Source organism: Homo sapiens, chromosome 7, assembly GCF_000001405.40.
Source record: "Homo sapiens chromosome 7, GRCh38.p14 Primary Assembly".
Taxonomy (NCBI): domain Eukaryota; kingdom Metazoa; phylum Chordata; class Mammalia; order Primates; family Hominidae; genus Homo; species Homo sapiens.
Genome location: NC_000007.14, coordinates 106,766,512 through 106,787,348, shown reverse-complemented (window position 1 = coordinate 106,787,348; position 20,837 = coordinate 106,766,512). Strand labels below are relative to the sequence as shown.

The 20,837-nt window shown below is 39.1% G+C and overlaps 1 long non-coding RNA gene and 1 pseudogene across 9 annotated transcripts in view, besides 2 other annotated features; one reads left to right on the top strand and one right to left on the bottom strand.

Moving 5' to 3' along the window:
- Window positions 1-12,331, bottom strand: part of LINC02577 (long intergenic non-protein coding RNA 2577) — a 63,465-nt gene extending 51,134 nt beyond the window's left edge. For 3 of the 9 annotated variants that reach the window (NR_170304.1, NR_170303.1, NR_170302.1), the window contains exon 1: window positions 12,149-12,331. This is a non-coding gene — a long non-coding RNA (long intergenic non-protein coding RNA 2577). Of the gene's footprint in view, window positions 1-4,500; window positions 7,355-9,616; window positions 9,808-11,326; window positions 11,391-12,148 lie in introns of those variants that run through there. The other 6 variants (NR_170306.1, NR_170309.1, NR_170307.1 and 3 more) reach the window with 6 other exon arrangements.
- On the top strand, window positions 5,634-5,749 carry RNA5SP236 (RNA, 5S ribosomal pseudogene 236; annotated as a pseudogene).
- Window positions 11,061-12,260: an enhancer, noted in NCBI's record as "P300/CBP strongly-dependent group 1 enhancer chr7:106415535-106416734 (GRCh37/hg19 assembly coordinates)". NCBI's record gives its function as "activates an origin of replication core promoter dependent on BRD2, BRD4, P300/CBP, MED14 and CDK7 cofactors, with strong dependence on P300/CBP, by STARR-seq in HCT116 cells {active_cell/tissue: HCT116}" and the evidence as "EXISTENCE:reporter gene assay evidence [ECO:0000049][PMID:35650434]".
- Window positions 12,372-12,666: an enhancer, noted in NCBI's record as "tiled region #6701; K562 Activating non-DNase unmatched - State 1:Tss, and HepG2 Activating non-DNase unmatched - State 23:Low". NCBI's record gives its function as "activates a minimal TATA promoter and a strong SV40 promoter by Sharpr-MPRA in K562 cells, with weaker activation in HepG2 cells {active_cell/tissue: HepG2 | K562}" and the evidence as "EXISTENCE:reporter gene assay evidence [ECO:0000049][PMID:27701403]".

Here is a 20,837-nt window from a genome sequence, read left to right as displayed (position 1 = left end):
CCATAATTTGTCTATATTTTTGCAGAGAATAGTAGGATATTCTTTATGGTTTGCTATTATGGTCATCATTCCCTTTAATTTTTAACTATGTGGTTATTCACTAAAGGGATTGGGTTCATGGACTTAGGTCAAAAATTGAGAATTAAAGAATTAATGGTCATTTATGATCATCATTACCTTTAATTTTTAACTGTGTGGTTAATCACTAAAGGGATTGGGTTCATGGGCTTAGGTCAAAAATTGAGAATTAAAGAATCCTTTGGGGGATATTTTAAGGAAAAAAAAGAACTAGTGACCACAACGTCTTTAAATTAAGTATGAAAACACAGTTAGGATTTCTAACAGTGAACTAAATAGAGACCCTGGAATAATTTCAAGTTTTCTTAATTTGAATGCTTATTTGCTATTCATACTTGATTCTCCCCACCTCTGTAACCTCATTAAGAAACAGAGTGATGTGTGTATCAGAAAAAGAGAGAAAAAATGTATTTTCATGATTTCAGGAGGCACTAGGAAGAGTGTCTTGATGAAAATACCTTTCAAAAGTCTGCCACATAATCCTGAAATCCACCATTAGAGACTTATTACTTTTTAAGCACTGGTTCTCTAGAAGGCAGAGATATTCAGCTGCTGCCAGTTGAGAACACAGAAACAAGGCCACGTAGGGTGAACTGCAGAGCACAGGCTCTCCAATCAAATGGAGCTAGGGTTGAATTTGGCTGTGGCATTTACTAGCCGTGGGATCCTGGGCAAATTACTTTTCTCTGAGTCCCAATTTATTCACCTTTAAAATGGGGTTAATAATGACTATCATATGAGAAGTACAATTTAAATGAGCACATGTTGTCTCTCCATATATATATATGTATATATACATGTGTATATATATATGTGTGTATATATATATATATATATATATATATATATATATATATGAGAAACTTAATATACTACCTGGTTTAAAATAGGTTCCCAGTACATTGCAATGATAATTATTAGCAATGGTAGAAATATTTAATTCAAATTGAGATTTGCATAGCTTTAGGGGTACATGAGGACATCCCAAGAGCTATGCAGACTCAGAATCAATTTCCAAATTCTTTCTCTCTCCCTCTCTCTCTCTCTCTCTCTCTATATATATATATTTCTATATTTGCTCAAAAGTGCCCCTGAATCAAGCTGCTTCTCCTTATCCACCTTTTCTTTTATAGCTCCTTTTCTTCTGCCCTACAAAAAAGTGACATATTTTTCATCCACCTCAAATTATGCTGTGGTACCTTAATTGCCCTGGGTATACAAACCTCTGGGACACCAAGCTGAGGAAAGTCAAACTATGGGTATTTGAGAGAGAGAGAGACTCTCAAAGGAAATACTCTGTTGAAGGAAATACTATGGGTATTTTCCTTTAATCAAACCAGCATAAACCAAAGGTGCAGGGCATATTATCTTTCTCTGTCTTATGCTTATCTCTTTTAGGGGCAAAGCATACCTTAAGCAGGTATGCTCACCCATGTCGGGGTGTTTGGACTTCAGGAGTATCATGGAATTAGGCAGGAGAAGTGATGGCATTTTCCTCCTGTCTTCACTACTGGCAAAGAAGGCATTGTTCCTGAGGAAAGAGACTTGAGAATAAAGCAGGCTGGGCACAGTGGCTCACGCCTGTAATCCCAGCACTTTGGCAGGCCAAGGCGGGCAGATCACTTGAGGTCAGGAGCTCGAGATCAGCCTGGCCAACATGGCGAAACCCAGTCTCTACTAAAAATACAAAAATTAGCCGGGCATAGTGGTGGGACCCCATAATCCCAGCTACTCAGGAGGCTGAAGCAGGAGAATCGCTTGAACCCAGGAGGTGGAGGTTGCAGTGAGCCGAGATCACACCACTGTACTTCAACCTCGGTGACAGAGTAAGACTCCATCTCAAAAAAAAAAAAAAAAAAAAAAACAAAGAAAAAAACAAAGAGAACATCTCTTAGAAATATTGGCCGGGCGCGGTGGCTCACGCCTGTAATCCCAGCACTTTGGGAGGCCGAGACGGGCGGATCACGAGGTCAGGAGATCGAGACCATCCTGGCTAACACGGTGAAACCCCATCTCTACTAAAAATACAAAAAATTAGCTGGGTGTGGTGGCGAGTGCCTGTAGTCCCAGCTGCTCAGGAGGCTGAGGCAGGAGAATGGCGTGAACCTGGGAGACGGAGGTTGCAGTGAGTTGAGACCGCGCCACTGCACTCCAGCCTGGGTGACAGAGCGAGACTCCATCTCAAAAAAAAAAAAAAAAGAAAAAGAAAAAAGAAATATTGAAGATGGCAGTAAGTTATTCATCCAGGTGGCAAACTCATGGGAGGTCTCTGTCTATCTTGAAATATTCAAGATTTGTAAGAAGTGTACTGGGAAATGCCAGTGAGCTATGAACCACATTTTCTCTGCAATTTCACCATCTCAGTAATGAGAGCAAGCTCTGTGAATACTCTCATTTAGCTGCATTTTACTCTATGTCTCAGGAGTGTAATTTGCATAACTTCAAGGTGAAAAGACTACAGTTTCTTCCAACATATCAAGGCTACATTTTCTAACAAAAGAAACACATATTAGAGGTAAGTTAGTATTTTGTATTTTCTTAAATATTTACTCAGATTTATAGGAGAAACACTTTCATTAATTTTTGCTAAAAGTTAGCAAAATATGAAATCTATATTCATTTCTGATGAAGGTACAGGTCTCCTGCTCACTGTCACTCATGAACAACTTTCCCGTTCATGTATTAATTCCTGCCATGTAGTTATTAGGTATATAAGTCAGCTTGTGTTGCCATAACAAAATACCATGCACCAGGTGGTTTAAATAACAGAAATTTATTTTCTCATAACTCTGGAGGCTAGAAATCCAAGATTAGGGTGTCAGCATGGTCAAGTTCTGGTGTGGGCTCTCTTCCTGGCTGGCAGATGGCTGCCTTCTCCTTATATCCTCACATGGGGGGCAGGAGGAGAGAGAGAGAGAGTGAACCAGCGAGAGAGAGAGAGAGAGAAAGGGGGCACATGAACGAGAGCATCTGGCATCTTGTCCTCTTCTTTAAAGGACACCAGTCCTAGTGAAGTAGGACCCCAGCCTGTGACCTCATTTAACCTTTATCACCTCTTCACAGGCACTATTTCCAAATATAGTCACATTAAGGGTTAAGCCTTCAAAATATAAATTTTGGGGGAATGAAATTCAGTCCACAGAATTAGCATTAAGTAATTTAACAGGAATATATTGCAGATTATACTCTAACTAATGTGCTTAGAGGTCCTTAATGTGCTTTCCATAATCTTGTACTATACTTATTGGTGACTAAGTTCTTTCTCTTGCTGTCAACTTACATAAAGTATTTAAACTATACTGTCAAAAGCAGAAATCTATTGGTTCAAAAGCAAAAAAAATTTTTCCAAAATGTAAATCTAATATGCAATGACCTGAACTTTAGAAAACTGGCTTGATTGAATTAGGATTAATTTCTCCCTTTCAGATGTTAATATATTGATTTCAGTTCTGCTAAGTGTATTGTCTTCAGTCATATTTGGGAAGAAGTTATTAGTATATACATGAATATCCCCAAGTGTCTGTCCTTCTGTCATTTCTTTACTCTGCATTTTGAGACATTCTTAAAAAATGAAATTTGGCATTGTATATAGGTCTCTGTTCACAGTCAAGGAGAAAAGTCCCCAAATGCACAATTTACAATTTTCTGTTTTTGTTTCTAACTCCAGTTTCATCTTTTTTAGGTCCATAAGCAAGACGCCTGTAAGTAAAAGGGTGATGGTATAATCAACAGCCATGTGATAAGTCTTGGCCAAGCTTTTTTGGGTCATACTTCCTAGAAACTTAGAAAGTGAGCTCTAATAATTAGGTAACACATTTCTTCTTCTTCTTCTTCTTCTTCTTTTTTTTGTAAATTAGGTAGTTTCCAATTCTTTGCTTTCAATAAAATTAAAGGAGGACCTACCCAAGTTGTCAACAGATAGGCCAATAGTTTTTGATAATAGATCACTATGTACTTTTTGACTTATAATCAAGAAGGCATTCAAATAACAGAGTGACATTTTTATCAGAAAATGCCTAACATTCTCATTACTTATTTAATTGAACAAGTTTTCTCAGGGCTTACGTCTAAAAAAATAAAAAATAAGAGTAGAATTGACGCTGACTCTGTCTCATTTTAACAGTTAGGAACAGCCACAGATACCCGAACTAATTTAAAAAGATCCATTCATTTAGTTTAATTTTCCAATAACACATAACTTGCTATGTTTTATAATTATTTATCAAAATATGCTATATATTTATGTTGCTTTGGTCAGTTGTATACTAAAAATCATTATAAAAATAATTCAATCCAGAAAACTTCAAAATTTTAAAAAGGAATAATACAAATTTTTCGGTTGTTAAAAAAGAGGTTGTTGGTGAATTTTTAAGACTGAGGGTGGGAGAGTAAGTGTCAAATTGCTATGGTGTTTAGAGTTCATTGGATACAAAGTGTGATATATTTTATTTAAAAATCAATATTTACAATATGCTAATAAGTACATATTTTGAAGTTATTCAAATTTATGATGAAAAATCTTAGGTGTCTGCTTGAAAATGTGCAAGGGGATACATAGTTTTTCAAAGTTCCTTTAGGAAGTACGAGAGGAATTAGTTCAAAGACCACTTATTTAGCTGATCAAATCTTTACAGTTTTAACAGTTGATGGTGACAAACTTCATGGAGAAAAGTAGATAAAAAGAAGGACATACATGGGTGTGTTGTTGATATGGGCTCTTGTGACAGAAAAGTAGGCTTGGTGAAAAAAACAAACAAAATAACACATAATTCCCAAGTTCTTAAATTTTTTTGGCCAGCACCTTTGAGACATAGCATATCCATTGTTTATGAACTTTGCAAAGCAGATTTATGAGGTTGGTTTTTCTTTTGGATGGGCTTAATTATGTTGGAGACCAATAATCCACTGTTTTAGCCATATTACCATGTGCCTGGCACTGTGCTAATTACTAGAGATGCAGAGATGAACAAGGAGAGAGGATCCCTCAAGGAACTGACAGGATAGAAGAAAAAGGGAAGTTAAACTAGTCTAAGTTGGAAATCAATGATGATGTGCTTTAAGTATTTTTCATTTGTATTCCATATTTGCACAAAAAACTTGAGATGGATAAAGATCTCCCTCATCATCCAACCTGTTGAGGAATGGAACAGGACGGAATAAAATGGTGGAAGGAAGGTGAATTTGCTCTCTCTTTTTGAGCTGGGACATCTGTCTTTTCCTGCTCTCTGACAATGGTGCTCTTAGTTCTTGGGCCTTTGCACTTGGGCTGGTTTGTACCACCAGCTAAGCTTTCCTAGGTCTCCAGCTCACAGACAGCAGATTGAGGGACTTCTCAGCCTCCATAATCATGGGAGCCAATTCCATATTTCTCTATCTCTATACCTCCTATGGGTTCTGTTTCTCTGGAGAACCCTGACTAATACAAATGGTTTATAGTACAAGATTCTCTGAATCCTTGGGGTTTGGATCTTGATGTTTAAAGTTAATGCTCTAAAATTTAAAAGAAAAAAAAAAGAAAATCCCTTTTTTCTTCTCTCAAACTCTTGCTACTTACAATAGAGAGCCATACCCCCAACCCTAAATGTGCCCAATTTCATCTGATCTAGGAAGCTAAGCCCAACTAGCGTTGGGCCTAGTTAGTATTTAGATGGGAGAAAACCAGGCCCCTGTAGGCCATGGTTTCTGGTGTCCATTTACCAAACTCTCCTCTGTAGTTCATGATCAATGGCTTTTGTTCTGCCTGGATGGTCCTACCCTGTTGTACCCAGAAAGTGTCTGCTGACTGCTGAATGGTGGGTGAAAAGAAAGGGCAATAGGAATTAGAAAGCATGTGGTTTAATAATTTTTAAAAATTCCCTACTTTAATTAGGAAGTGATGCATATTTCTGGAATTTTCACCAAGAGATCATGGTGTTTCTAGGAAGCTGGCTAACTACGCCTGATATATTTAAAAAACAAAAAAACCCCAAACCCAAAAAACTACAACCTACTCAATTACATTGCAACTTGCCGGGAATTAAGTAATGGTGTTCTCAGAACTGTAGAGTACAATGTAATCAGTGTTTATCTGATTCTGTGCTGAAGAGTCTGGGCTTAACTTCCTGAGGACCAGCAGGCTACCTAGCTGGTAATGTCTCTAGAATGGAGAGCAGCTCATCCAAGAGCCCAGCTTTTGAGGGCATAGAGTTGATGAATTTCATGGGAAAGGCAGGACCCTTCACTCCAACTTCTAGCTGTTTGATAGCAATTCTCAAGCTTTAGTATGAATACAAGTCATTTAGGAAGATTGTTTAATAATATAGATTCCTTGAACCCCCATACAGATCATCTGATTCATAGGTCTGGGTTGGGGCCTAGGAATTTACATTTTTGCATACTTCTTCTGGACCATGTTTTGAGACCTTTAGACTCCCATTTGGAGAGCCTAGGATAAAAATTTAGGAATTGTTGAAAATACCATCCTTAGATCCAGACCGGAGGGGCTCCTGCCCTGGGGTCTGTGATTTAGAAGGCCCTGCTCTGGCCCTCCCCTGGCCATGTTGGTCTCCATGGGATGAGGAGTCTGGGGGCTCTAGGGGATATGCCAACCTTGAGACTGTGAGCAGACTTCCAGACTGTGATCTAGGGAGAGAGAGAGAGACAGAGAGAGAGAGGTTGATTTTGAAGAACTGGCGCCTGTAATAATAGAGGCTGAGAAATCCCACAATCTGCTATGTGCAAGCTGGAGCCCAGGAAAGCCAATGGTGTAGTTCAGTCCAAGTCAAAATGCCTGAGAACCAGGGAAGCCAATGGTGTGAATCTCAGTCGAGGGCCAGAGAAGATGTGATGAAATGTCTCTGCTCAAGCAGGCAGGCGGCAAGCAAGTTAAGGGCGAATTCCTCCTTCCTTTGCCTTTTGTTCTCTTCAGGCCCTCAGGAGAGTAGATGGTGACCACCCACACTGGGGCAGACACCAACTTTGCCAATCCACGGATTCAAATTCTAATCTCCTCTGGAAATACCCTCACAGACATACCCAGAAATCAGGTTTAATCCGAGCACCTGCGTCCAGTCAAGTTGCCACATAGAATTCAGCATCACAGGTGCTGAGCTGGCTCCTGACTGTGCAAGGGCTTCTTCCCTGGTCTGACCTCCAGAGGGCATACCCTGCTGGGTGTGTCCTTACGCCTGAGTAGTGGCCAAAGGGCAGCTGTTTGTGGAGGTGTGGATGGAGTTGACTGTGTGAGCTGCAGCATGCACTAGTGGCCCCAGGAAGTTCCTCATTCATGGAGGGCTGGCTGTGGGAAAAGAGGGAGCATGGGCTGTGAGCCAGGAGTTAGCACTCCCTGTGCCACCGCATTCCTACCTTGGGTTTCTGGGTTGTTTGGAGGGTATATTTATCAGATAGGAGAATAGGATCTTTTATTCAGCAGTTTGTTAGCTTTGATTTATAACTTCTAAATAACTAGACACATGGTTTGGGGACCTTAGTCTGTACTCTTGCTTTGGGCCCCACAAATGTTAGAGGCAGACCAGATCAACATTTCCAGATTAGTAACATCTTAGACTTGATTTCTTCTAAACAAGAATTGTCCTTCAAGCCAGGCCCCAGGGAGGGAAAAATGGACAAAAGGTAAAGGAAATATGACCTCCAGGCTGGCAGGGCCCAGGGAGGGAAAACCCAGCTTGTGTGGCAAGGCAGCAAATCTTGGCGTGTCCTTTCTAAGCCCTGTCTGCATCTCAGGTAAGGAGTGAGAGAATGGGAATGGGGCATAATTCTGTTTTGCAGAACTGACAGACTTGAGCTATCTTGGGGGACCCAAAATCTAGGTTTTTCTAATTTCATTCTCTCCAGGATTCTAGCCTCCCCAGCATGAGTCAAGTTGTCCTAATTTTTCCTAGAATGAGATAATAGTCTGAAAATGTGAACACTTTTCTGGGTAACTTTAACATATTTTCAGAAACAATTGCACATAAAAAAGACTTCTTCAATTATTTTATAAGGGGATTAACACGGAAACTTTTTTTTTGTATTTCACACACATTGGAATGTGTAAAAGGCATTGTTACATGACAGTCACTACTTGATACCATATTCCACATACTTTAATGAAAATATTCCTTAAAACACCCAATTACTTTTCTCCCATTAGATCTGCTATGTACAGTTGTCCAGGTTGTTGACTGTGTAAGAATACTTAGCCCAAGAAATGAATAGGATCTAAAATCCAGCCTACTGTCTCCTTGTCAAGCTGAGCGCCCTGACATGGCCTGCATTCACCAGGAGGAAGGATGCTTTTTTCTAATCACAAAAGTCACAGTCTGCTTGTCAAACCACATACCTTGCTCATGAGAGGGGCATGTTTGCTGAGGTTACCCTCAAACTAACAGAGCTGAGGATGCTAAAATGATGCCATATGTTGAGGAATAGTGAAAGCCTTCTGGGGAGATGGTCATCTTGGAATCTGATTACTTGCCCTCTCCCTCTCTGCACCCTCTCTCCCTCTCTCACTTCCACTGCAGTGAAGAGAAAGAATGCCTTTCTGGGAAAAAAATTACTGGCAAAAAAAACAAACCAAACCAAAACAAACGCCAAGAAACCCCACAACAACACAGCTGCTGTGATTTCTGTGGGTCCCAAAGAAAAGAGGAGCTAACTGCTGCTTCAGCCTGTGTAATAGCCAGGTCCTGGGACAGAATTAGCTACAGTTAGAAAATAAAGTCAACAAGGTGAGTACAGCTGGAGATGGAACATTTACTGCTACCCATCTACTAGCTTGGAATCAGGGAAGTAATTAGTCCAGTGTGGATCAGCATTGGTCATGGACTAGAGGAGGACATCTACCCTTGCCCAATCCTGAAGCCCCTTTTGGGCCCTGCTGGAACTCACAGTCCATTATTAGCAAAACCCAATAGTGTCAACCTTGGCTCTGACTCTTCCAGCACCATCTCACTCTGATGAAAACATGGCTGTCCTCTGGGAACACTGCCTTCTGATTCTGTCGTTATTCTCCTTGTCCCGTGGTGGCTGTGGTTTGCTCCCTCCAGTTGTGCCATGGGGCCTGGAGGTGGGGTGCGTTTCTTTTACACTCCTCATTGCCACTTCTGCATCATTACCTCTTTCTCTTTCCTAAAAGTGTCCTGCATTGAATCTCAGGTCATCAGGTTATGTCACCTGACTTCTCATTTTGTGACATCTGTCATCCTGAAGTCATTCCCCCTGGTTCCTCAGTGTTCCTGCCTCACCATTGCATTCCTCTTCCTGTCTTAACTCTGGGCAAGTTCAACTTACACATGGATTGTCCCTCCATTATCCTGGTCTCTCAGTTCCCTACTGACCTTTCCTCTCACAATCTGGTCCTTCCCCTTTCATCACCGTGATTGCAGACCCTGTCATTTCCCACAGCTGTGTGGCCTCCACGGCTGCAAGGCATGCCGCCCACTCTAGGACCCCTGCTTCCTCTCTTCCTAGCACGCTTCCTCAATCACCCTGTGTGCTAGAACTGTCAAAGCAAAGTGCCACAAATTAGGTGGCTTAAAGAATAGAAATGAATTCTCACACAGTTCTGGAGGTTGGAAGTCTGAGATCAAGGTGTTGATGGAGTTGGTACCATGTAGGGGGCTGCCCCAGGCTGCTGTCCTGGCCTCTGATGAATTGCTGGCAATCCTTGGCTTGTAGACTCATCACTCCAACTTCTGCCTTCGTGTTGACATGGTGTTCTCCCTGTGTGCCTGTCTGCACCCAAATTTCCTATTTTTATAAGGACACCAGTCACACTGGATTAGGACACCCCCTCATCTTAACTAGTCAGGATAAGTAAGGTAACATTCTGAGGTACCAGAGGTTAGGACTTCAACACTTAAATTTTTTTTTGAGGGGGGCATACAATTTAACCCCTAACATGCTCCATCTCCAGCAGTCCTTCCACTCCCATCTTAAATTCATGAACATAAACCCTTAATGCTGCTTGGCAAAGGCAAACATACTCCCTGATATGGTTTGGCCCTGTCCCCACCCAAATCTCATCTTGAATTGTAGCTACCATAATCCCCATGTGTTGTGGGACGGATCTGGTGGGAGGTAATTGCATCTTGAAGACAGGTTTTTCCTGTGCTGTTCTTGTGATAGTGAACAAGTCTCACAAGATCTGACGGTTTTATATAGGGCACTTCCCCTGCACACGCTCTCTTGCCTGCCGCCATGTAAGATGTGCATTTGTTCCTCCTTTGTCTTCTGCCATAATTGTGAGGCCTCCCCAGCCATGTGGAACTGTGAGTCCATTAAGCCTCTTTTTCTTTATAAATTACCCAGTCTCAGGTATTTCTTCATAGCAGTATGAGAATGGACTAATACACTCCCTCCCCTATGTCATCAGTTTTTCCCCTCTTGGCCTCATCATTACTATCACCATATAAAGATGCTCTTATTTCTCTCACATTAATTATATTAAAAACTTTCTTGACCCCACATCCACCTGTAACTCTCCCTCCAGCTCTACTATCTCTGCTGCTCTTCACTGAATGATTCTTCTGGGGTTGTCTATACTTACTGCCTTCAATTCTTCTCCTCCCATTCCCTTCAGTCCCTTCCAATCAAGCTTTTGCCTCCACTACTCCTCTGAAAGTTCTCATGTCAAGGTTAACACAGTTTGTAGTATTAGTGAATTTCTTCTTTCTTTTTTTTATCATGGTTATCCTCGATGAAAAATTGAACTTACTCCCATTTATTGCATGCATTAAGTGATGAGGTTTGCCCAAAGCTCAGGAAAACAACAAGGAGAAGGTGAAATAATGAACAATATATAGATTGGCAGGAAAAATACAGAATGAAAAAATTGTTTAGAATAAGGTAATCCTTTTATAGCATTGGCCACTCTATAGAGATTCGATTTTTAGCATTTACATTTACACATTTTAACCAATTACTTTGCCCACTTGGAGCACGTGGATGCATTTACACTGACCACTCTGTGTCCTTCCAGGTTTTCCCTGGATGGCCTTCTTGATCTCTGGCAATTTGGAATCCCAAGCCCTTTCTGGGATTATTACCTAGCCCCCAGGTCAACCCTCTCTAGGGATCCAGGGTGGAGGAGGGAGGAAGAGGAGGGGGTGGTGGTAAAAGGGGGTAGGAGCAGGAGGATTTAGTGGAACAAAGGGATGAGAGAAAATAGGAAAGAAGAAAAAGCAGCAGACCCAGGCAACATGTGCTGTGGCCATAATAACTGTTTTCTGTACTGTCTGCTGCAACTAAATTTTAAAAACATGCTTACCCTTTTTTTTTTTTTAAATGAACAAACTCCTTCAGAGGGGGTGGATTGTATAGTTTCTGGCATGCTGCAGGGGAGAAAAAGTCCATCTCGATAACTTATAAGCACGCTTTGAATTCAGAACTTTACAATTCTTCAGAAACAACTAATGAAAAAAAGAGTGCTGTTGGGCTGACTGTGAGTCACTTCCCCACCCTATGATTCACTAAGTCACAAATGCTGGACATGCGGACAGGGGAGAAGGACTTTTGATTTTGAGGATTCATGAGCTGATTCAGTACTGTCTTTATGTTTTGATGCTATCCAAGTTCAAGCTTTGAGGTGTTTTGGCATCATAAAGCAGCATCAAGGTAAGGGATCAAAGGATGGGAAAAGCCAGCATGAGTGAAGGTTTGTTAGCTAGAAGCGTCCAATTCTTGCATAATATCAGAAGGCAAGGTTAGGCAGCTACTGATAGCATGGATGCTGAAGAAAGCTGAAGTACTTTCAAATCCAGATAGCTCCAATTGCTTGCTCTCCTATGACTACTCTTAACTGAAATATTTATAGTGACTCAAGAACGACAGCAAAATAAATATCCTTGGGCTCCCCACTGGTCTAAATCCCTTCACAAAAAACCTTGTCACTGGAAACACTGACAAATACTATATGTTTAGAAAACATCATATAAAATATCCAAATAAATAAGCTATACAGTAATTGGTCCTTTAAATTATTTTAAGGAGGTAAAATATTCTAACATCTGAATTTCTACCTGTCAGAGGCTTTTGAACCAGAGCAATTCCATCTTGAATAGGGGGTGGGTAAAATAAGGCTGAGACTTACTGAGCTGCATTCCAGGAGGTTAAGGCATTCCTAGTCACAGGATGAGATAGGAGGTCGGCACAAGATACAGGTCACAAAGACCTTGCTGATAAAACAGCATGCGTAAAGAAGCTGTCCAAAACCCACCAAAACCAAGATGGCGATGAAAGTGACCTCCAGTCGTCTCACTGCTCATTATACACTAATTATATAATGCGCTAACATGCTAAAGACACTCCCGCCAGTGCCATACAGTTTACAAATGCCATGGCAACATCAGGAAGTTACCCTATATGGTCTAAGAAGTCGGCAGGGGCAGAGGCGGGAACCCTCAGTTCCGAGAATTGCCCACCCCTTTCCTGGAGACTCATGAATCATCAACCCCTTGTTTAGCATATAATCAGGAAGTAACAAAAAGTATCATCAGTCGAGCAGCCCATGCCGCTATTCTGCCTATGGAGTAGCCATTCTTTATTCCTTTACTTTCCTGATAAACTTGCTTTCACTTTACTGTATGGACTTGCCTTGAATTCTTTCTTGCGTGAGGTCCAAGAACCCTCTCTTGGGTTCTGAACTGAGACCCCTTTCTGTAACAAAAACATTTAATTACGACGTCATGACATTCTGGAAGGTTTCTTTGGAATGATGTCCTAGTTTGAGCTCCCAGTTTGATAGTACAAGTTGAGTATCCTTAATCAAAAAATCTGAAACCTGAAATGCTCCAAAATTTGAAATTTTTGAGTGCCAACATGGTACTCAAAGGAAATGCTCATTGGAGCATTTCAGATTTTGGATTTTTGAATTAGGGATGCTCAACCAGTAAGTATAATGCAAATATTCCAAAACTGGGAAAAAATCAAAATTGGAAACACTTCTCATCCCAAGCATTTCAGATAAGGGATACTCGCCCTGTAAAACTTGAACATTCTTGTTAGTAGAAAATTAAATGTAATGAATGAGATGAATGTACCTGTATTTGGTTTTTCTGTTTTAAGAAACTAAATGTTCAAAGATTATTAGCATACACTCAATTACAGAGATATTAAATACTAATTGGATTGTGACTCTGATTTTATTTTCATCTAGATTATTTTGATTTACCTATGACATTATTTCATATCATTGCTCATAGGAAGCCTACCTTTTTGCTTGGTAGTGAGTGTGAAGCAGCTGAAAGAAATGGAGATATTTGAGAAACTACCAGCTGGTAACCAATATATACACTTGAGATACATCTATGTATTTTTCAGATTGGAACAGTGAGTGACTATAGGTTCCAAAACAAAATTTGGTGTTAAATCCCCCATGAGTATCTTGTGCGATAGCATATTTTAAGATTGCTGAATTCATGGGGGAAAAAAGCATACTGCTAAACCAAAATGCATGAGTACAGTTGAAAAGTTAAAAAGTTATATTCCTGTTTTTGAAATTTTACCCCAAATTTTGACGACAACAACAACAACAAGACTGCTTGGTTAAGTTTATTAGATTAAAAATATTGCTAAAATCAGGCTAAATATGCATGCAAAGTTCCTTCTGATATGACCTGGCTGAAAAACATTAAAAATCAATAGAATTATAAACTAAATCATGCCTTGAGCTGTGAAAGACGAAATGACCATCACAAGTAAACTGATAGGCATGAGTTCTCAATAGGCAATGACTTACTTATGTTAAAAGATGGAAGAAACATAGATCAGTGTAGTTCAAGCCCTTCACAAATGTTAGAAACCAAGAAATTGAGGTGCACAGTGGTTGCTTGACTTGCCCAAGGTCCCATGACTTGTCAGTGGCAGAGCCAGGCTGGAATTTGACCCTGCATTCCAGGAATGAGCACCTTTATTATACCATGCCAGGCCAGCACCAAAATTCCAGGACTGCTTTTACAAGTGTTACATTTAACCAGGGTTCTTAATTACTAGCTGGTAAGGAATTTGCATAGAACCATATGGATGTAGATCAAAATCATGTGATTAAGTGTTTCACAAGTGGTAAATTACATATATGTGTATATATATATGAATGAGAGAATTAAAATTACTTTAAAAATATATTTAATTTTAAAAAAAGCCTTGGGATCATCTATTGAGATGAAAACAGTAATGTCATGGAAAGATTACCAGATGTCTACAGGAACTGACCTCCCATCTTGCCCTGCCATTCATTGGCTGTGGAATTGCTTCATTTTCCAGTCAACAAAACGGGGATGTTGATGACTGCTGTACCTTCAATAAACACTCTGAGGATAAATAAAATAGAATAAGTGGAGTGTTCCGAGGGTTTCTTACCTTCCTAAAAGAATTAAAATAGGAGACTTAGGCTTTAGACCACAACTTGTTTAACTTATGTTGCTGATGACTACAAGTTTCCTTGCAGTTATGAGTCAGTGATTCTCAGGAATTCCTTTTTGCACCACTTAACCTTTAAACTGTTTTCTTTATTGAACCTTAGATTTAGAAGACTGAGAAATCACCTAGAGATTTCTCCTCTCAGTTCAACTACCCACTCATAGAAATGCTGATACAGAACTTATTCCTGTGCAAGGTAGTTTATTCCGTGGTTGGAAAGCCACAATATAGAAAAATGTTCATGTTATTGAACAAAAATTTATCTCAGTGTAATTTTTTTGTCATTCATTTTTATTTTATTTTTCTATAGGTTATTGGGGTACAGGTGGTATTTGGTTACATGAGTTAAGTTCTTCAGTGGTGATTTGTGAGATTTTGGTGTGCCCATCACCTGAGCACTATATACTGCACCCTATTTGTAGTCTTTTATCCCTCACCAGGCTCCCACCCTTCCCTCCAAGTCCCAAAAGTCCATTGTATCATTCTTATGTCTTTGTGTCCTCATAGCTTAGCTCCCGCATATAAGTGAGAACATACCATGTTTGGTTTTCCATTCGTGAGTTAATTCACTTAGAATAATAGTTTCCAATCTCATCCAGGTCGCTGTGAATGTCATTAATTCATTCCTTTTTATGGCTGAGTAGTGTTCCATCATATATATATAATATATATATTATATATATTATATGATATATATATAATATATGTATTATATATATTATATGATATATATAATATATGTATTATATATATTATATGATATATATATAATATATGTATTATATATATTATATGATATATATATAATATATGTATTATATATATCATATGATATATATATAATATATGTATTATATATATCATATGATATATATAATATATGTATATATATATCATATGATATATATATTATATATATTATATGATATATATATTCCGTCATGTATATATGATATATGTATCATGGAACCAACCCAAATGCCAATCAATCAATTAGTGGATAAAGAAACTGCGAGATATATATATATATATATATATATATATATATATATATATATATATATATTCCATCATATATATGTGATATATATCATGTATATAATTCCATTATGTATATATGATATATATATATATATATTCCATCATATATATATCATATATATATGGTTGAACTACACTGGGCTTTAACTACACTGATCTATGTTTCTTCCATCTTTTAACATAAATAAGTCATTGCCTATATTCCATCATATATATATGATATATATATATCACAGTGTAATTTTTAACTGTAATCTTAGTTTTTTTTGTTTTGAGTTACATAGATTTTATCAATTCTTAAATTATTTGAATTCAACTATCAAGTTTCTCCTAAATTTTCAATGTTGTAGTAAGAAAGAAGATAGCATTATTAAGTGGCTACTGTGCAATATTAACACTTTTATCTGGGTGTTTTCAATTAAAACTCAAAATAAGTTAATGCCAAGTAACCTCCATTCCTGCATTGATGAGACTAGTAAAGTTGCTAAAACCATAAGCCCTGAATTTAGGCACACCTGGATTTAAGTCTTGGCCACTTACTAACTATAAATTGCAGAAATTACTTAGCCCCTCAGGCTTAGCTTCCTCGCTGATAAATTTTAAAAGCAATAATTCTAATGATAATGTGGTGGTTATGAGGTTAAAAAATATAATGCCTGGGCAACATGATGAAGCCCCATCTTTATGAAATATATATAAATTAGCCAAACATGGTGACGTGCCTGTAGTCTTAGCTATCGGGAGGCTGAGGTGGGAGGACTGCTTGAGCCTGGGACGGGGAGGTTGCAGTGAGCTAAGATTGTGCCATTGCACTCCAGCCTGGGCAACAGAGCAAGATCCAGTCTCAAAACATATGTATATATGGCATGTGACTATATAATGCATAGTAACTGTTCAATAAATGTAAGCTATTGGTATTATTAGTCTCTCTGTCTCTCTCTTTTTTTTTGGCCTTATGTTTATCCCAAATAATTTGTATTTTCTTTGTTTTGGGCCTGATTTCTATATGAAGAAATAGTTTTGAATTGTCTCCTCGTGTATTAGCTCTGTCTCCCTAATTTTTAAATTGAAATATTCATAAACATGCATTCTGTGGTTTTCATGTTTTTGACAAAAATATTGAACAGAAATGAGCAAATCATAAATTCTTGGAGTTTGCCTTTTAAGGTGGAAGTCAAGTCTTTGGCCAATATTCTTTGGGTGACATTGAATGCCTAACTATGCAGCAAACCACCAGTCATCTTGCTGTTACCTGGGCCCTCATTCCTCCATCTTAACAACAAAAGGTGTGCATCACGATATTTGGCAAATGCTATGCTAAAACCAAGGCATACCATGTGCATGCCTTCCTCCTGACACACAGGCAACCAAATCTAAGAAAAGAAGTGAGACTGGTTGGCATGACTTGTTCTTAGTGAATTCACACTGGTTAGTATTTGTTTACTGTATCTTGCCTACAAATCATCCATTTTAGAATTTTGTTTGGCGTCTGCATGAGGCTCATCAGTTTACATACAGATCTCATTCTTTCACTATTTTTAGAAGTAGAAACATTTTCCAGCCATTAGTCACCTTTTCCATTCTCCTTGATTCTCAGGAGCAGTTCTCTGATCTCATCTGCAAACTCTTTTGATACTTTGGGATAGAATTTGTATTAACAGAAGTTTTGAAGTCATTCAGAGTAAGTGAAGATTTCTCTTACTATCTCTTTTTCTATTGTAGGTTTTAATTCTCTCTTCATAATGTTTGCTTCAAAATTGATGTTCATCTCTCTTAGAATATGGAAGGAAGCAGAAAATTGAATGGTTCTTTGATTATGTTATCATTTGTTAAGGTTATATTGTAATTTTTTTTTTTTTTTTTGAGACAAGGTCTTGCTCTGTGGCCCAGGCTGGAGTGCAGTGGAGTGAACATGGCTAGTGAGGGTTTACTTTCTGGGCTCAAGTGATCCTCCCACCTCAGCCCCGAGTAGCTGGGAACACAGGCGTGTGCTACCACACCTGGCTAATTTTTTACAAAGTTTTGTAGAGATGGAGTCTCACTTTGTTGCCCAGGCTGGTGGGCAAGAGGTCCTCCTGGGCTCAAGTGATCCTCCTGCCTTGGCCTCCCAAAGCATTAGGATTACAGGTGTCAGCCACCATGCTTGGCCTAAGGTGATATTGTCTGAGATACAGCATAGGTTTTTCTTCCCAGATCTTTTCTTGGCTACGGAGATTAAAAAGAAAAACAGCTTTCTTGCTGTCTTTAGTATTTATCTCCGCCCCTACTTTATTTTAAGACTTTATTCTCATAATACTCTAAACAAATTTTCCCTTTCTTTTATCGCATGCTTGGGTCTGTCCACCCCATCCGTCCTCTGAGCCATAGGAACCTCGAGTCTTACTACTCCAGATCTAACCCTCCTTTTACCTCCTCTCTGAGAACTGTGTGCTCCTAGACTATTATTCTATTCTTGCTGTTTATGTTTTCAGCACAAGCTTGTTTATGGTCAATTATCTGAGATTATTTCTATTATATTTTCTTTCCAGACAGCATATCTTTCCTCCTAAACAGGATCATTTTTGTAATGCTCAAGTAATCCTGTTTTCAGAGTCTACATTCCTCTTCTAAACATATTCCCTTGGGCACTATTATTTTCCTTACTTTTTATGAAGCCCCCTTTCTGAAGGTCTGACCATTACCTTTTTCACTATTATAAACATCAAGGCCATTTTATTCCAAGGTTTGCTTGTTTCTGCATTTGACACCTCCTTCTTTCTTGTTGGAATCCAGGACAAAAATTTCCTAAATGTATTCCTTTACCTGCTGAGGGAAAATTGTCAGTAACCCAAACCAAGAACAAACTCTCCGTCTGCTGTGCGCTGGGTTGAATGTGTGCCTTTCCCCAGCTTATGTTCACCTGGAGCCTGTGAATATGACCTTATTTGAAAATACAGTCTTTGCAGATGTAATCAAGTTAAGACGAGGTCATACTGGATTAGAATGGGCCCTAAATTCAATATAACTGGATCCTTATAAAAAGAGGAGCATTGGGACACAGGGACACAGACAGGGAGAAGATCGTAGGTGGAGACTGCAGTGATGCATCTAGAAGCCAGGGAGCACCAAGGGTGGCAAGCAACTGCTAGAGGCTAGGAAGAGGCAAGGAAGGTTCCCTAGAGGCGTCAGAGGAAAACATCAACCTGCCAGCACCTTAGTTGCAGACTACTAGCTGCCAACACTGAGATAATAATTTTTTGTTGTTTTAAGCCACCTAGTTTGTGGTGATTTGTTATGGCAGCATCAGGTAACCAATACATGTGGTTAATAGCAGGATACCACTAACTGGTTCCAGGTGGCCAATTCTGTAGCAGTTTTGCTACATGTATCAGAAGATAGCATGGCTATGTGGCAAGAATATAGACTTTAGGCTTAAAGACCCATGCTCGAGTCTTAGACCTACCACCGATGAGTTGGGCGATCTGCAGCTGCTAAAAGAAAAATTTTGGACAAACTAAATTTAACAGAGTTTAATTGAGCAAAGAATGTTTCATGAACTGGGCAATCCCCAAACCAGAATAGATTCAGACAGACTCACGTGAAAAGGATTTATGAACAGAAAAATGAAAGTGAAACAGAAGTGAGGAATAGGAACAGCTGGATTGTTACAGCTTGATGTTTGTCTTATTTGAACGTGGTTTAAACAGTTGGCCATCTGCAATTGGCTGAAGCTCAGTGATGGGTACAAGAGCAAGTTACAGTCTGTTGATACATCCAGTTAGGTTACAGTTCACTATGTGCAGAGAAACCTTTAGCCTCAACTTAAAAATATGTAAGGAGGCAGCTTTAGGCTAAACTTAATTTAACAGGGCATGGTCAATTAATCACTTATAACTTCCATAAAATAATGATAATGTATTATTCATCTGATAAGTCTTCTCTGAGATTGAAGAAAATGTGAGAAAGCACATTTTAAGTTATAAAGCCCCAACAAAGGCTATTGTATTGAGCACCCTTGACATAAGTAACTCCATCTTAAAAAAAAGACTCCATCTTACATTTCACGGGACATTTTGCCAACAGGGATACGATGTTTGCTTAATAAATTTGTAATAAATAAAGACTGCATCCAACCAGATAAGGGCATAAACAAGCACACACTTCCACTATCAGTCCTCTGGTGGTCGTAAAAAGAGCAGGGCTTCAGCAGCTCAAAGCGGCCATCTTAACTGACATGCTCTTACTGTCACTAGTGATCAACACCTGGCATCTGCTGCTGAAGGCTCTGCCCACATCAAAGACTTTTCCTTTCAAGACCTTTCCTGGACCGCCGAGCACAGACCAGGAGATTCTTTCTGTCTTCATCGTCACTTTCCTCGGACTACTTCATTAATCCTTTTTCCTATTCCCTTTCTCTTGATGTTAAATATTACTTTGGTGTGGAATGTTTAATCTTAACATTTATATGTTGATGAAATATACTACTATATATGGTTTGCAATGTTGACTGACTTGTGGAGTGGCTTGAGCTGTGTGCTCTGACTACGGAGTGAACGAGAAGTACTAAGGAGAGAGTTGCCTTCTTGAGAACTCCATGTAGCTTGTGGCTTTTGTGGTTAAAATAGCATCAGTAAAAATCTGACATTGTGGAGACACAAACATGCATGGACCTGGTTATCTCTGACTTTGCCCTGCTCATGAGAGCTATCTAGGATTGTTTTACCCAATTTCCTTCATGTGCTGGGTATCTGTATTACAGTCCTTCAAAGATACTACTTCCATCTCTTTCCGGGTTTATCCCCTTTTAAATACTTCTACTCTCAGATTTTAAATTTCCATTGGAATATATATATTCTTGACATACAATTTTCCTATCCTATCCTTTCGAGGAAACGTTTTCCTTTTGAACAAGGTATGCATGCTCTTTTAATGTTGTATTCCAGGTATGCATCTCATCAGTAAGTCTCAATGATCCTGAGACAGTGTTTACCAATCCTTATCTAAAAATCTTCAAAGTATGGATACGGTGTGCATGTGACATATACACATTTGAGTCCTAGAGTTTTTTTAGGTCTACTTCTATGACATCATCTCTGGAGAATTATAAGGTTTCTCTTCTGTGGGATCCTTGCAGTCTTTCATTGTGTCTGGTTTTGAGTAGTTTATGTCTGATTTATCTTTTCCTGAGATTTGATCTCTTCTTCACTCTTGTGCTGGGTACGTCTTTTTGCCCCACCCCCTCTCTCTGCCCCTGGCACCCAGTGGATTTGAAATAAGCTTCTTCAGATTTTCTTCTGGCTGACTTTTCATTATTTGCTTCATGCAATTTTGTTGTCAGGCAG